The sequence below is a fragment of the Homo sapiens genome, chromosome 2 (assembly GCF_000001405.40).
Source record: "Homo sapiens chromosome 2, GRCh38.p14 Primary Assembly".
NCBI classification, from domain to species: Eukaryota; Metazoa; Chordata; class Mammalia; order Primates; family Hominidae; genus Homo; species Homo sapiens.
Genome location: NC_000002.12, coordinates 68,971,587 through 68,986,202, shown reverse-complemented (window position 1 = coordinate 68,986,202; position 14,616 = coordinate 68,971,587). Strand labels below are relative to the sequence as shown.

The window sequence follows — 14,616 nt, the reverse complement described above, 5'->3', positions numbered from 1 at the left end:
CTTTTTCATTTGCCACTTGGATGGGTATACAATGATCTTCCCACTATGGCTTAAATTTGCATTTTTCTTATTACTAATGAAGTTAAGATCTCTTCATATCCAGATTCACCATTCAGGGTTCCTCTAATGTTAGAAACATATTAATGTCCGTTTTTCTACTCATCTTTTTCTCATTGATGTGTTAGAATTCTTAACATCGCTTTTGTACAAATCTCTTACCCAGTTTATGTGTTGCAAATATCTCTACTAGTTTATGTCTTTCCACATGATTTTTGTTGTCTTTGGGTAAACAGACATTCTTATTTCTAATGTAGAGAAATTTATTAATATTTTATTTTATGGCTAAGATTTTTTATGTGAAGTTTAGCAAATCCTTTCTTTTCTCAATAGTCATGTAGTTATTATTTTATATTACCTTCTACTTTTTCGCCTTTTATATTTAGAGATTTAATATACTTGGGATTAATTTTTTAATAAGGTATGAGGTAGAGGTCTATTTCATTTTTTAGTTTGTTTTTATTTTATTTGGCTACCTAATTGTTTTAATACCATTGATTAAAAAGCCCATGTTTCACCCACTGAACCTAGAGTGCAACCTGTGTCCTATTCCAGCCATCTATAGATGTGTGAATTTATTTCTAGGCTTTCCATTTTGTTCCATTGATGAATTGGAATATTCTAATACTCATATCACACCATCTTAATTATCATGTCTCTATCATAATTATGATAGGTCAAATCACTCACTTCATTGTTCTGCACCAGTAACTTGGCTATTTTTGGCCTTTTCAGGAAGGGTCTGAAATTTTATCCTACTTGAAAGCTATCGTTTCATGGATGATGACAGAAGACATGAGACTTCTGGATCAGAGACAAAGGACTTTATTACTCGTGTCACAGCAAGCAGTGTGAGCATGAGCATGTTTGTGTCAGTGCTCGTTGCCTATAAGTCTCATAGAAGTGATGATGTAGACCAAGATTGATGCTTGCACACACAGTGGATTGCATTACTGAGAGAAACCCTGAGCTTTGGGAACTCGAATCTTTTATAATAGCATGCTTGCTCTTTCTTCTAAAGGAAGACACTATCTCTATCTTCCAAAGCTATTTGCCATACAAAAAATCTTTGCAAAAATTAGTTAAGAACAAAGGGCAGTCAGTGCTTCTACTCACAAGATGTATAGAAGCACCAACAACTCATGGAGAACTGTCTCCCAACTGGCCCCTGATCTTCCATGTATATTCTAAATTTAGTTTGTTATGTAGTAGACACACACACACACACACACACATGCACACACACACACTATGTTGAAAATTTGTTTACAATTTGCCTTAAATCTATAGATTGCAGAAGAGCTGACATTTTTGTAATATTACATCTTCTAATTCAAGGCTATGGTGTATTTCTGCATTTATTTAGTTTACCTTAACATCTCAATAAAGTTTCCATAGAAGTCTAGCACTTCTTTTGTTGGTTATTACTTAGCAAAATGATATCTCATCTCTGCTCAAATTCCTGCAATGTCTCCCTATTTTACTCAGAGTAACACCCAAAGGGGCTCTTCATGATTTCGTTTTCCATTACCCCTCTGCCCTCATCTCCTATTACTCTCTGCTTTGCTCATTCTGCTTCAGCCACATTGATCCCCTTGCTGTACTTTTAATGTGCCAGACACGCTTCTGTCTTAGGCCTTAACACTGGCTGTTTCCTCTGCTCATAATGCTTTTCTCTCAGAAATATTGGCATGGCTAAGAACTTCATCTCCTTCCGTCTTTGTTCAAATGTCACCTTCTCGATGTGTATCCCAAATACCCTATTACAAATTGCAAACTGCCTCTTACCTCCTGACACTCTTGATTCCTCTTACTCTGCTCAGTACTTTTTTTCTTAGCATGCTAAGAAAAAATACTATGCTATTATGTTACAGTATAAATTACTATCCTACAAAATATCCTACTATTAATTAATTATATTTATCATTATTTCTGTCTCCTCTAACTAAAATGTTAGCTAAAAGAGGCAGGGATCTTTGCATTTTTATATGCTGATGGATTTCTATAGTGGAATAGTGCTATGGATGTAGCACTATTAAGGTGCTTAAGAAATATTACTAAATAGTTTTTCCTAGGTATGTCATATCTTTTGCAATTATAAGTGTATCTACAAAAAATTAAAGTTTCTATATTTGCTGCTGATGCATTAAAAATACAATTCATATTTGATTGTCATTTTGGTACTTAGAAATCTCTAAATTCTCTGACTCTCATAACTTATATAGGTTTCTTTGAGTTTTTACACAGAAAATCATGTCATCTGGGCAGAATGATGGCTTTTTTCTGCTTTCTTTCTAATCTTTATGTCTTTTTATTTATTTTTCTTGCTTTACTAACTTTCAGTACAATGTTTATAGAAATTGTGATGGCAGGCATTTTGTTTTATTTATTTTTTTAATAGGAATGATTTCATTGTTTTATATGATACTTACAGTAGATTTTTGGAAGGGATGATCTTAGTTTAAGTTTCTTCTGATTCCTAAATTTCAAAGAATTACTTCTTTTAAGTATGAATATTTGTTGCTATTGAGATACATCACAAAATTGTTGTCTTTTAATGCAGCAAATTACATTATTTCCTATGATCAAATCAACTTGGATTGCTATGAAACATCCAACTAATCATGCTATATTATCTTTTGTATACATTGCCCAACTGATTTGCAATGATTTTGTTAAGAAATTTTGCATCTATATTTATGACAGAGATCAATCTTTAATTTCACTTTTTCATACAATCCATGTCAGGTTTTGAAATCAAGTTAATAATATTCTTATGAAATGAGTTGGAAGTACTCCTGGTTTTGTTTTCCCCTTATACATTTGAATAGTTTGTATAAGCTTAGAGTAATTTGTATCTTCAATATTTGTTAGATTGCCTGTAAAAACCATCTTGGTCTGGAATTTTCTCTTGTGAAGTTTATAAACTTTTGACCCTATTCCTTTACTACTATTGTACATTTGTTTTCAATTTTATTAATTTCTGAATTGTCAATATTATTTCTTTCCTCATATGTATTTTGTATACATTATGCTTATCCCTCATTTGTAAAATTGAAGGCCTAACTCAATGTTCAGCCATTCTTCTATAAAATAAAGATTTAAGGCTACCAGTTTTTCACTACACATTGCTATAGCTACTACTCATAAGGTTTTATATGCAGTGTTTTCATTATTGCACAGTTCTAAATGTGTTTTACTTTTATTCATGAATTTTTTGTTAGCGCTTGTATTATTTAGAATTAGTATACCTGATTTCAAAACAAATGGGTAATTTGGTTTTATTTAGAGAAAAATGTTTATTTTATCCTAATTAAAATTAGGTCATAAAAATTTCTTCTTTTATGATGCCAGTCATTTGAATTTTTTTGAGATTTTATTTATGTCTCAGCAATGACCAATATTTGTAAATGTTTCTTTTCTTTTTTTTTTTTTTTGAGACAGTCTCGCTCTGTCGCCCAGGCTGGAGTGCAGTGGCGCGATCTTGGCTCACTGCAAGCTCCGCCTCCCAGGTTCACGCCACTCTCCTGCCTCAGCCTCCCAAGTAGCTGGGACTACAGGCGCCTGCCACCACACCTGGCTAATTTTTTTTTTTTTTTTGTATTTTTAATAGAGACGGGGTTTCACCGTATTAGCCAGGATGGTCTCGATCTCCTGACCTTGCGATCCACCCGCCTCGGCCTCCCAAAGTGCTGGGATTACAGATGTGAGCCACCGCGCCCGGCCGTAAATGTTTCATACATGCTTAAGAGGATATATATTCTGCAGTGTTCTACATATGTTTATTAACATAAGCTTGTTAATTGTGTTAAACATTTTTTATATCTGTAACTACTTCATTTCTAGCTTATTGAAAGATATATGTTAAAATCTTCAACTAAGATAATTAAATTGTTAAATTCTCCTCAATTCTTATAATTTTTCTTTTATGTATTTTGATAAGTATATATAATCTAGAATTTTTATATATTCCTAGTGAATTTAATTTTTTATCATGAAATAGGGGGTAGACAATTCTTCTAAGAAACATGGGATTTACCAGTTCCCAAAAGTCAGGTAGATGACATTGTATCCAGTTTATGAGTCACAGTTTTCTTTCTTTCTCACTCACAGTAGGAAAATATCTAAGGCCATGACCTTTGATGGGGTTTTGATAAGTTTTTACCTCTCATGGCTTCAGAATATTTTGGAAGTTCTACTAACCTCATAGTGCACTTCATGTGAACAGTTATGAAATAATATCAGTATGAGGAAAAATATAACAGTTTCATCCCAATAAAAACTGGTAAATATTAGCATTTTTCCAAATGGTGAGAATCAATGTCTTTAGTTTTATTTGTTAGGATTATTTGTGGCTATTTCACCTGAAGACATGAGAATGGATTAGATATTCCCCTATGGCACTGGGGATTAAAAAAAGATGTATGGGGGCAGCTTTGAAAAGTTAACAGTTTTATATTGTAATACACAATATTTAGAGTCTCTATTTTCTCTGAGACCTTTCACTTTCCTGGCCATCAGTGAATGGAAGTTGCTAACTTTGAGCCAAACAGGATCAAGGAAAATGGAATTGGGATTCAATATGAGTTATTACCTCTTGAACTGGAAAGACATGTAAACACGAGAGATGAGGCTGAAAATTTGGGTCAGCCATTCTGTGCCATGAGCACAAAAAAATCCATCCGCAATATGCGAAAAAGAGGGAAGTAAAATTTAGAGAAGAAGAGAGAAAAGGTAACGCGTGGCTTCAGGGAGAGAAGCAGACTTGGGTCTTGGTGTCAGCAGAGTTCCTGGATGTAGTTTTTTTGATAACCAGCTGCTTTTCTTGCCCTCAGATTTTTTGAGATATTCTTATATCCTTGCAATAAACCACCCTTTCTTGCTTATGTGACTCTGAGTGAATTTCTGTCCTTGCTGATCTGAAACGTTACTGTGCACAACAACTATAGAGCAGCCTTCAGAGCAGTTGGAGAGTATTGGAACCATTCCCAGGGTTGTGGTTAGTGGTGTCTGAAGCACCTGAAGGGGTTCTTTACAGGAGACAGGTCTTGAATATAGGCTAGCAGTTGAGTCTAATGCACTTCAACAACTTGCCACCACCACATTGCATTTTTGATCCTGTGCATTCCAAGTCATAAGAAATTGTAAGAAATGTGAGTATACACTGAATTCAATGCTAAATGATTTTATTGAAACTTAAAGAAATCAAACATAACTAGTAGAGAAAAATTTCAGAATGACATGGTAAAAACCACTGGAGCCCATATTTTTTCTGCACAGCATATTCAGATGACTAAATCCATAGTGGCTTTAAAAAATTGTTTAGTTCTCCACCGTGTCTCCACAGAAGGAAATGTCCACAATCCATAGTACACTGGTCGTGTAGCACGTTCCTGAGTAAAAAAACAGGCTTGCCTCTAATAAAGAGAAAAGAAGAAGCCTATATTAATGTCTATTTAAGGACTCTTTTCTTGGAGGGGATTGGGGGAGTAGGGGTTTCCAAACTAGCTATGTGCTAATGTCAAGGTTTATCTACTTGTTGTGATGAAATCAATCAATTCAGAGATCTGGAAAATTGCCATTAAGTTAGGTCCCTAGGTAGACACTTTGTTTGTGTGCAGCTGTTCTTTGAATGTCCAGAAATTAAGTGATTGTCTGAGCTATAGAAAGTTAATAGATTCTATTAGCATTCTTCTTTCATTTAGCCATTCATGCATTCTTTTGAATATGACTTGAGTCTACTCTTGATTCACACTTAAAAGGCAGTGTTCCATAATATTTAAGAGCACAGAATCCACAGCCAAAATGCTTGGAATTGACCCAGGCAAGGATTTTGTGACCTCTCTGTACCTCAGTTTCCTCATCCATAAAGTAGGATTAAAATAGAACCTATAAGATTGCTGTGAAGAACCGAGTTAACACACTTAAAGCACATAGAACAGTACCTGGCACAGAGCAAGCACTGCACAAATGTTGGCCTTGATGACCATCCCTGCATCACTGGTGCCCACTATGGACACGCGCGAGGATAGTCTGACAATCCCACCAGCACTAACTTGGGGTGCACAGTAGGGATGCTACTCACCTTGCATCTCCTCAGCCATGTATGTTGGAATCCCACGACACATGTTTGCAATGTTTTTTCCGAACTTGCTCAGGTCATCGACTTTGTTTGGGTTGACTGAGTACATCAGGCCCTTGGGAGGTGGTCCTCCTGGTCCCTTACCCTGAAGCTGAGTGTGGAAAAGAGAGGTAGAAAGGAAGAATGGGAGAGAATGAATGCCAAGCCCAGTGGTTTGTTGACTTGAGGGGTATACGAGGCCAACAGTGAGTGTTGCTCAGCTAAATTTTTCCATAATCAAGATGAAGAAGAGCCATTTCTAGCTTATTCTGTATATCTTAGCATTTCTAAGTGTCCTAAGGGATTTAGCTGGTTTGAAACCTCAGCTTCTCATAAACACAGAAGTCTGAGGCTTAATTTATTCTGCAACTTGGACCTCATTTGGTCATCATAGATTCCTTGGATTAGACTATGTAATAATCATCTTCTGAGAATGCAGTTTATTTATTTTCTCTACCTTGTCAATGAAAGGTACTCATTTATCAGTTATAGGAATATGAACTCAGGCAAATATTTTAAAACATTATGGATCTCTTCTTTCCACTCACCTGGATTAGTATGGCCAGACAAAATATACAATACCCAGTTACATTTGAATTTCAGATAAACAATGGATCTTTTTTTAGTATATCCCAAATATTGCATAGGATATATTATACTAAAAAGACCTGCTGCTTACCTAAAATTCAAACCTAACTGGATATCTTCTATTTTCATTTGCTAAATCTAATAACCCTAACTAACTCTTGCAGAAAAATGTCCTTGGCAAAGTACTGAGGCTCCTATTGGTGTGACCAGAGCTTTGCTCCTCTAACAGTCAAGGTTTCAAGTGCTTTGCTCAGCGGTTGTAGAGGTAGGTGTGAGCCACAGCATTTGATGTGGCAGAAGTTGCCTTCCCTCAGGCAATCACCAATAACTTCCCCCTTTGTGCTGCACACTACAACATACTGTAGTCAAGAGGGAATGACTGTGATCTTCTCGTTATTTACTGAAGGATGTAAAACCTCTCCCCTCACCAAAAATAAAAAGCCTTTTATTTTTACCTTCTTTTCCTTGACCAGTGCATCAAGGGATTGAATGGAGGGCATGACTTCCTTGTTCATTTTGTGCACAATGCATGTCTTCTTTTGAAAGAGTCTGGTTGCAGCAAAGCCCTGTTAAAGTAGATGGCAAATAGTGAGGCATGTGTTCTCCGAGGAGCTTTTCTTATCAGAGGTCAGTTCCACCTGCAGAGAGAAATGGGAACTCCAAGATCGTGATGAGCTGGGATAAGAGCACTGGATGGGGCACTGCTTGGCAATCATATCTATTGCTGACATTTGTGAGGACAGACTGCAATTCTGTGAGGGCAGAGACTGAGCATCTAACTGGTTTGCTTTATTTCCAGGTTCCAGCATGATAAAAACCCCTCTATATAAGTCTGTTTTACTGAAATAGACTTTAAAAGCTATCATGTTTTAGTCTCCTTTGATCCTCACATTTCAAGGAGACAGATAAGACAAAAATTATTTTTCCAATTGACCAGATAAAATTGAAACAATAAAGAGTTTGCTATTTAAAAGTATAACGTTTGTTAAATATATAGCTGATAATTCCAGAGTTGGGTCTCCTAACTAGTGCTAAGTGTTCCTTTCTTTGCTCCTCTCTTTCTTTGCTTCTCTTTTCCTTTCCTTCTCTCTTTCTTTCCTTCTCTCTTTCTCTCTTTTTTCTTTTTCTTTCTTTCTCTCTCTTTCTTTCTTTCTTTCTTTCTTTCCTTCCTTCCTTCTTTCTTTCTTTCCTTCCTTCTTTCTTTCTTCTTTCCTCTCTTACCAATTAATATTGTCATTTACATTTCCCGAGTTTTAGGTGAAATGTCAATTTCAATCTCTTTAGAAGGTCGTAAAACCTCCTTTGAAAACAAAGTGAGATAGTCTAAGCTTTGGAAGCAGTAATGTTGTATAAGTCTTTCAGCATTATTGAGGGTATCTGCAGGCAAGGCAAAAGGATGTTCATATTTGTTGTATATACCCACAATCCCTTGAACATAGTGTTTGTTGGTTTGAATTTTAACTGATCATGCAACACTTATTAACAGTAGTTATCTCTAGGGAACAAAATCGGATGAGCAAAATGGTCACCTTTACTTATAACTGTATGCTATGTGTAATTAGAATTTATTTTTAATTTCTTTATGGTTAACATGCACATTTTTTGTTAAAAAGAAATCGTATTTTTAAACAATAAAGTGAAAATTGCACGTTGACTACCTACATTTCCATAATCCCAGATGGAATTCCAGGAGTCCCATCCGTTGTTATTGTCAACATTGGCCACATTGTGTTCATTGTTGACACTCACTGACTGCTGCCCACTTCCAGCATTGTTGTTGTCATCATTGACGTTGATATTCTGAAGTTTATAAGAGATTGAGAGTGATTTAATATCACATTTCCTTGCAAATGCATTTTGGTAGCAAACTTGAAAAGGTGAGACTTACATAGTTAGCTAGGGCAGGAGCTAGAAAGACTCCAAGAAGTCCAGCAAAGACAATCTGAAATCACAAATAACATTGGTCTCCTGTTACATGGCAAAATGATGTCTTCTTTCTTCCTCTATCCAAGCTTATGAAAAGTATTCACTAATTTTACCAATGTGTTCAGTTCTAGTTCAATGTGTTTTTTTCTTCTCTTACCTTGCATTTTTTAACCATAAAGGTTTTAACGATAATGTGAAATTGCTGATTAATTATAAGTAATTATATTAATGTGATATATAGTTTTAGAATTTTTAGTGTAGGCCTTATGAAACGCTGGAAAAATTGATGAAGAAGGGAAGTTGAGAGCCAGGAAAGCTGCTTTCATCTCATTGCCATCCAGTACTGAGGAAGAAAATGTAATTTTCAAGTAGTGATAAATCAAATTATTGAATCAAATCCCTTTTAAAGTAAAACCCAGAATGTACCATCTTGTTTCTCTTCAGTTTAATAAGTGGTATCATAAAGATGACTTTGCTAAGATAATACTTCTGGAAATGTCAGAATAGAGTTTAAAAATTTTTAAGATTGGTCAAAATATTAACTTTATAATAAAACATATACTTGGCAAATGAATTTCCTATAAATTATCATTGGTCAGAATGCTGTTTTGTTGAATTATATTATGTAATATAAACCATAGGTGTTATTAGAAAGTAGAGAACTGCCTTTCTTATTTAGAGCTTTCAAGGACTTGCTATAAATGATTATTTTTAAAATGCTTTATAAATCTTCATGATTTTTCTATTTTGGATAAACTCAGCTATAGTTAATGACAGCATCCTACCTTGAGTAGATATTTGGATTATTTAAATCTAGTAAAAGAAGAAAGTTATACTTCTTCGAGTATTAAGAGATAGGAGTAAAGATTCACTTTTAAGTTATTGAAAATATGTGTATCCTCCTAAATATTAACAAAAATGATTTGGGATAACTGACATGGCTTGGTTATTCAGCTTAAATTTGTACTGTGGCTTATGTTACACAGGTTGTTGATGCTCACCTCTCACTCACTTGTTTCTAATTGTTTTATAAGGTTTAAAATTCTCTCTTTAGAGAAATTCAGAAAATTCACCTGGCACATATTTTGACCTCCTAGGTAACATATTTGTACCAGTATTGAATTTTGGTCAGTGCCCCAATATAAGAAAGTTACTGTTTTAAAATAAAGCAAACTATCTTATTTTCCTTGGAAAAAAAAAGAAGTTTTACAATAAATAGCATAGTATAAATGAATACTATGGTTTGAGATGGCTATAAGTGCTAAAAATCACATCTGAAAATGATTTCAGTTAATTTTCCTATTTAACATGGGATGTTTTCTTCCTAATAGAAATAATCTTTTTATTAAAAAAAACTTTCCAAAGCAATGGATTAGTAGGCAGTTTGGATGCCAATGATGAGAAAGCAAGTATAGAGTGTCTCGCTGGCAAGAGTGATCAGCAGAGGCGATGTCACTAGCAGTGTCCCAGGATACTTGGTTTAATTATTTATCACAGGGTCCCTGACATTGGTTTTCAGAGCACAGAGCTTTATGCAGGGTGCCTCATTCTGGGTACCTAGTCTCATTTCCTTTGCCTGGGACAAAATAGTTTTGAGAACTGCTCTAGAGATTCAAGGTAACTTTTGAAAAAAAATTAAATTTTTCTCCCAATAGCTTAAAAAGGAGTTAAAAATTAGTCTCCTAAAAAGTCAGAGGTAGAAGAAATTTTAGAGAACACCTAGTACAATGCAATCATTTTACAGATAAGGTAACTGAGCTTCAGGGGTTAAGTGAGTTGGCCAAACTTATACCTCTTGTTCACAGCAGAACTAGGAGAGAAATCAAATCTAACCTGTGTCTGGAGCTCCCTCTGACCCTTTTAAACTTTGCTGCTATTAAGAGGACCTAGTTCTAGGTAGTCATTTTACATTTGCAGCCCCATTATAAAGTAGAGTCTGCCGTAACGTTTTCCAGTGTGTAGTATGTTGAAACATGAAAATAGTCATCTGATTCTAGCCCCTTTGCATCGTGTTGTGAGAAACCCGGCACTACTAGTTACTTTGGCAGGGTTTCTCGGTCCACCTCCTCCTAGACTCTCAGGCTTCTGTCTGGAACCACAGGAGAGATGCTGTGGTAGCTTCATGTTTCAGATGCTTTCTTAAATAAATGGCCATGCTAGAGCCCAAGGCAAATCTTTCTTTCTTGGAGACCCATTTTACTGTAACAAATGTGACAAGAAGTCTATCTCAGCCACTTATTTTGATAATAAGCTTTTCATCTTTCCTGAACATGCTCAGGAATTTTGGTAAATAAAAGGAGGAATTCAAGAATGAGGGATGATCGGCACTTTCTAGGGCTTAGGAACTGCTTACCCTGCATGGAGACCGGAATCAGGTGATGCGGAAAGTCATTTTGTTAAAAATAGGTCAGTGTGAGGTGCTCAGACAGCTGTCTAATCTCAGCACAATTATCCTTCTCTATAGAGATGCTTATAAATGCCATGATTATATAAATAGAAAAAAGATTTTTTTTCATTATTTCTTCTTCTAAAAAAAAGGGATACATGTGCAGAACGTGCAGGTTTGTTACATAGGTATATGTGTGCCATGGTGGTTTGCTGCCCCTATTGACCTGTCCTCTAAGTTCCCTCCCCTCACTCTCCACCCCCCAACAGGACCTAGTGTGTGTTGTTCCCCTCTCTGTGTCCATGTGTTTGAAGAGAGAATTTTTTTAAAACAAATTTTCCATGATGGGGCCATAAGAAGCAGACCTCCTAAATCTCAGAATATTGACAGTCTCCAATCATTTGGTGGTAAATTCAAAAGGAAAAATCTACTCACTGTGAACTTCATCTTGTCTTCACGAAAGCAGTGGACAGAGGAGTAGGCAAGCATGGACCTGAATGAGAAGCCTTCTCATATTTGTACTTAACCAGGTTGACTCAAACTAGGTGTTATCAGGTGGGGTCAAAGACTTACCTTCCTCAATTTCTCCTATCTGTGCCATGAGCCAGTGTACCAGGAAACCTTTCAGAATATCTGCATGCTTAGCAAGGAACTTTCACATGGAGTTGACCTGACTCATCACTTGTTGAAGCTGAAGGTATCACAACAAACTCAATATGATTTATGATAACTTCTCACCCAGTCAAAGCTGTGGGCGTGAGTATTTTACACGCTAACATTGCTCAGATTCAGAAAAAGAATAATCCCTAAAATCAAACAAAATCACAGCTGAAAAGCCACGTGTATACTAGGCCTTCCAGATAGCAGCTCCTATAGGAATGTAGGAATGGTTTCCACTTCTTAACTTTTATCTGAGCCCATGGCAATGGTTTTGCTTAGACTAAACATGTTTTGTGAGCAACTCCCACCAAACCTACCCCTTTTCTGCAATGTTGAGCTCACTTAATGATAGCACCATATATCTGGTACAGCCCTTTCTTCTCAGTCTGACATCTACTTAGTTACTGTCATTTTATCTCTGAAATGCCTCTCAACTCTGACCTTGCCCACAGCTCCCCTCACCTGGACTTTCACAACAGTCATGCAATTGATCACTCTGGTCACCAGTTTCTTATATTCCAATGCATTTTCTTCATTAACCCTGAGGTTGTCTTTCTGAAGTGCATAGATAGACATGACTCTATCACGCTTGGAAATTTCGCTGGCAGCCTACAGAAAATTCAAAGTCATTGGAATGGCATCCAGGGTCCTATGTAATAAGATTTCCAAAGGCTTCCCGTCTGCCACTTTATGCTATGTACCTACATTCTAGCTCCACCAGCGTTCCCACCATTCCTGGAAAAGTCAAGATGTGTATGTCTCCATGCCTTTGTACATGCTGTTGTTTTATCTTGGAGGGCCACCCGCTAGCCTCTCGCTTGGTAGACTCCTGTTCATTGTTCAAGGCTCAGCTCAAATATCACTGCCTCCATCACATCTCCCCCATCTGATAGATAGAACTTTCCTAGTGTTTGTTTTTTCCTTCTGGGAACTATAAAAGCAATATCTTTTTATTTGCTTCTAGATAATTTAGTTTTCAGAAGTTACATTAAAATAATAAAAAATATTTTCATCAAAAGCAGAGAGTAGAAACTATCAATTGGGCAGACAAGTAAAAGCTCAAAACAGGTTTGGAGGTGAGTTGGTTTTAATTTTTTTCCTGCTTTTTCCTATACAGTGAAGCTAGTAAATTAAATTTGCCAAGGAGGAAAACTGTATTTCATTAACTACCAATCTATAAATTTTCCCTTTGGAAACTTCGTGCCCACAATTTTCCTCCTGTGCATGGATTGAAACCATAAGATGGGATCACATGGTTATAAAGCTTGATTCGCTATCAACATCTCTTCAAAACTGTTGGTAGGAGTGGATTAGAACAGCTGCAGTATTACTGGATATTTTTTAATGTGTCCACTGATTTCTTTCAAACTCACTCTTTATCCACAGAAGGTAATAAGCCTGGAGTAAGGGGCAGACATGTGTGAAGAGGCCTTCATCTGCTTTAGGAAACTTCATGTCACTGAGAAGTCAATGAGTGGGTAGCATGGTCTCTACGTTTAAACTCAGCCACCAGTAGTCATCTTGGTACACAGGTGCAGTGCCCAGCACACATTTTGCATGTCATACCAAGGACAAGGGCCTGAAGTTCTGCAGTGGACCTGTGAAATGCTGGTCTGGAAGATGTTCCATGACAGACAGACAGACAGATAGATAGATAGATAGATAGATAGATAGATAGATAGATACATACATACATACATACATACATACATACACACGTATACACACATAGATACACACACATACATAGATACATAGGTAGAGTTCCGGGTCCAATAATCCCCCCTTTAGAGACTGACAATTCACATTCACACATCAAATGGGCTAAGAAATTTATAGGGGAAAAATCTCTGTTTCATCCAGGTTCTTCTCATCTTAGTTGACTACAGAACCTGATCGTTTTCCCTTTTTCTTTTATTTATTTGTCCTAACATCTCATAACAACTCTGGGGACCCCTGCCTTAGTGAAAAAATTGTGCCACCTCTGAGGATGCACCCTGGATTTGAAAACCCATTTGGGGAGCTACTGGATGAAGCTGGGAGCCAGGAGACCTAGATTCTATTTTCCCATCTTTCAATGAGTCATTTATTTTTTTGGTTTAGGCCTTAGGTTTCTTGTGGGTAAAAGAGAAGAAATTCCTCCTTTATACAATATTTGTTACTTCAATGGCTCTACAACCAGAAAAACTTCTTTTTCTGTACTTTGTGTGGTGTGGGAGGTTGGGGGAGAGGGAGTGTGGGGGTCAAGGTGGGGGTCAACCCTCACCTCAATCCTGGTCTCATCCAAGGCCAAAAGTCCTAATGAAGCATGAGCAAGACTTTTGCCCTGAGAACTGTGTTTTATGTTTCATTCTTCCCTTGAAGAAGAATGTCTTCCCAGGAAGACAGAACATACCAATGTTTTTGGTCACCTCCATAGAATCTAAAATATGCAGACACATATATGGTGCTCAGTAGGCCCCTTGTAAAAATTTTACTTGCGTAAAGGAGATGTTAAGCTACAGGATAAAAAGTGCGTTATATTTAGTCATTTCTGGTTTTGGTGCCAGCCTGAGAGGGGCTGCCCTACACTGGCTGTGATGACACATTGAGGGAGTCTCAGTTGATGGTGTGACCTCTGTGGCTTGGGGTTAGTGTGGAACAAATCAGCCCATGGGTAAATAGAGCCTGCCCTGCCTACAGAGATTGATGCTGGGCCATGCCAAGAAACAAGCCCCTATCGTCATTTTATCTCACAATGCACACACACCCAAGGCTTCATTCTACTCCACACCCTGTGTTGTGCTCAGTGGAAACTCCCTCCGTGTGGAGCAGACGGGATGCATCCCATGTGCAATATGCTCCTGTGTGCAACTGGAGGGAGGCCTGCAAAGGACTA

The 14,616-nt window shown here is 36.8% G+C and overlaps 1 protein-coding gene across 1 annotated transcript, besides 1 other annotated feature; it reads right to left on the bottom strand.

The window, feature by feature from the left end:
• Positions 1-5,226: 5,226 nt before the first annotated feature.
• GKN1 (gastrokine 1) lies at positions 5,227-11,567 on the bottom strand. Its single transcript, NM_019617.4, has 6 exons — positions 11,514-11,567; positions 8,655-8,708; positions 8,429-8,566; positions 7,222-7,332; positions 6,143-6,290; positions 5,227-5,474 (listed from the first exon to the last, which is right to left on the bottom strand). Exons 1-6 carry the CDS (start codon positions 11,523-11,525, stop codon positions 5,380-5,382), a joined length of 558 nt encoding a protein of 185 aa, NP_062563.4. The 5' UTR covers positions 11,526-11,567; the 3' UTR covers positions 5,227-5,379.
• Positions 13,845-14,077: a silencer, noted in NCBI's record as "fragment chr2:69199258-69199490 (GRCh37/hg19 assembly coordinates)". NCBI's record gives its function as "represses an EF-1alpha promoter that drives an FKBP-Casp9 reporter gene in an ReSE screen in phorbol 12-myristate 13-acetate-treated (for megakaryocytic differentiation) K562 erythroleukemia cells {active_cell/tissue: K562(+PMA)}" and the evidence as "EXISTENCE:reporter gene assay evidence [ECO:0000049][PMID:32094911]".

Coding starts and splice junctions, on each gene's coding strand:
- GKN1 (NM_019617.4), bottom strand. Junction 7,333..8,428: donor CCATCTGGGATTATGGAAAT/GTAGGTAGTCAA, acceptor CTACTTTAACAG/GGCTTTGCTGCAACCAGACT. Junction 5,475..6,142: donor CATGGCTGAGGAGATGCAAG/GTGAGTAGCATC, acceptor TCTCTTTATTAG/AGGCAAGCCTGTTTTTTTAC.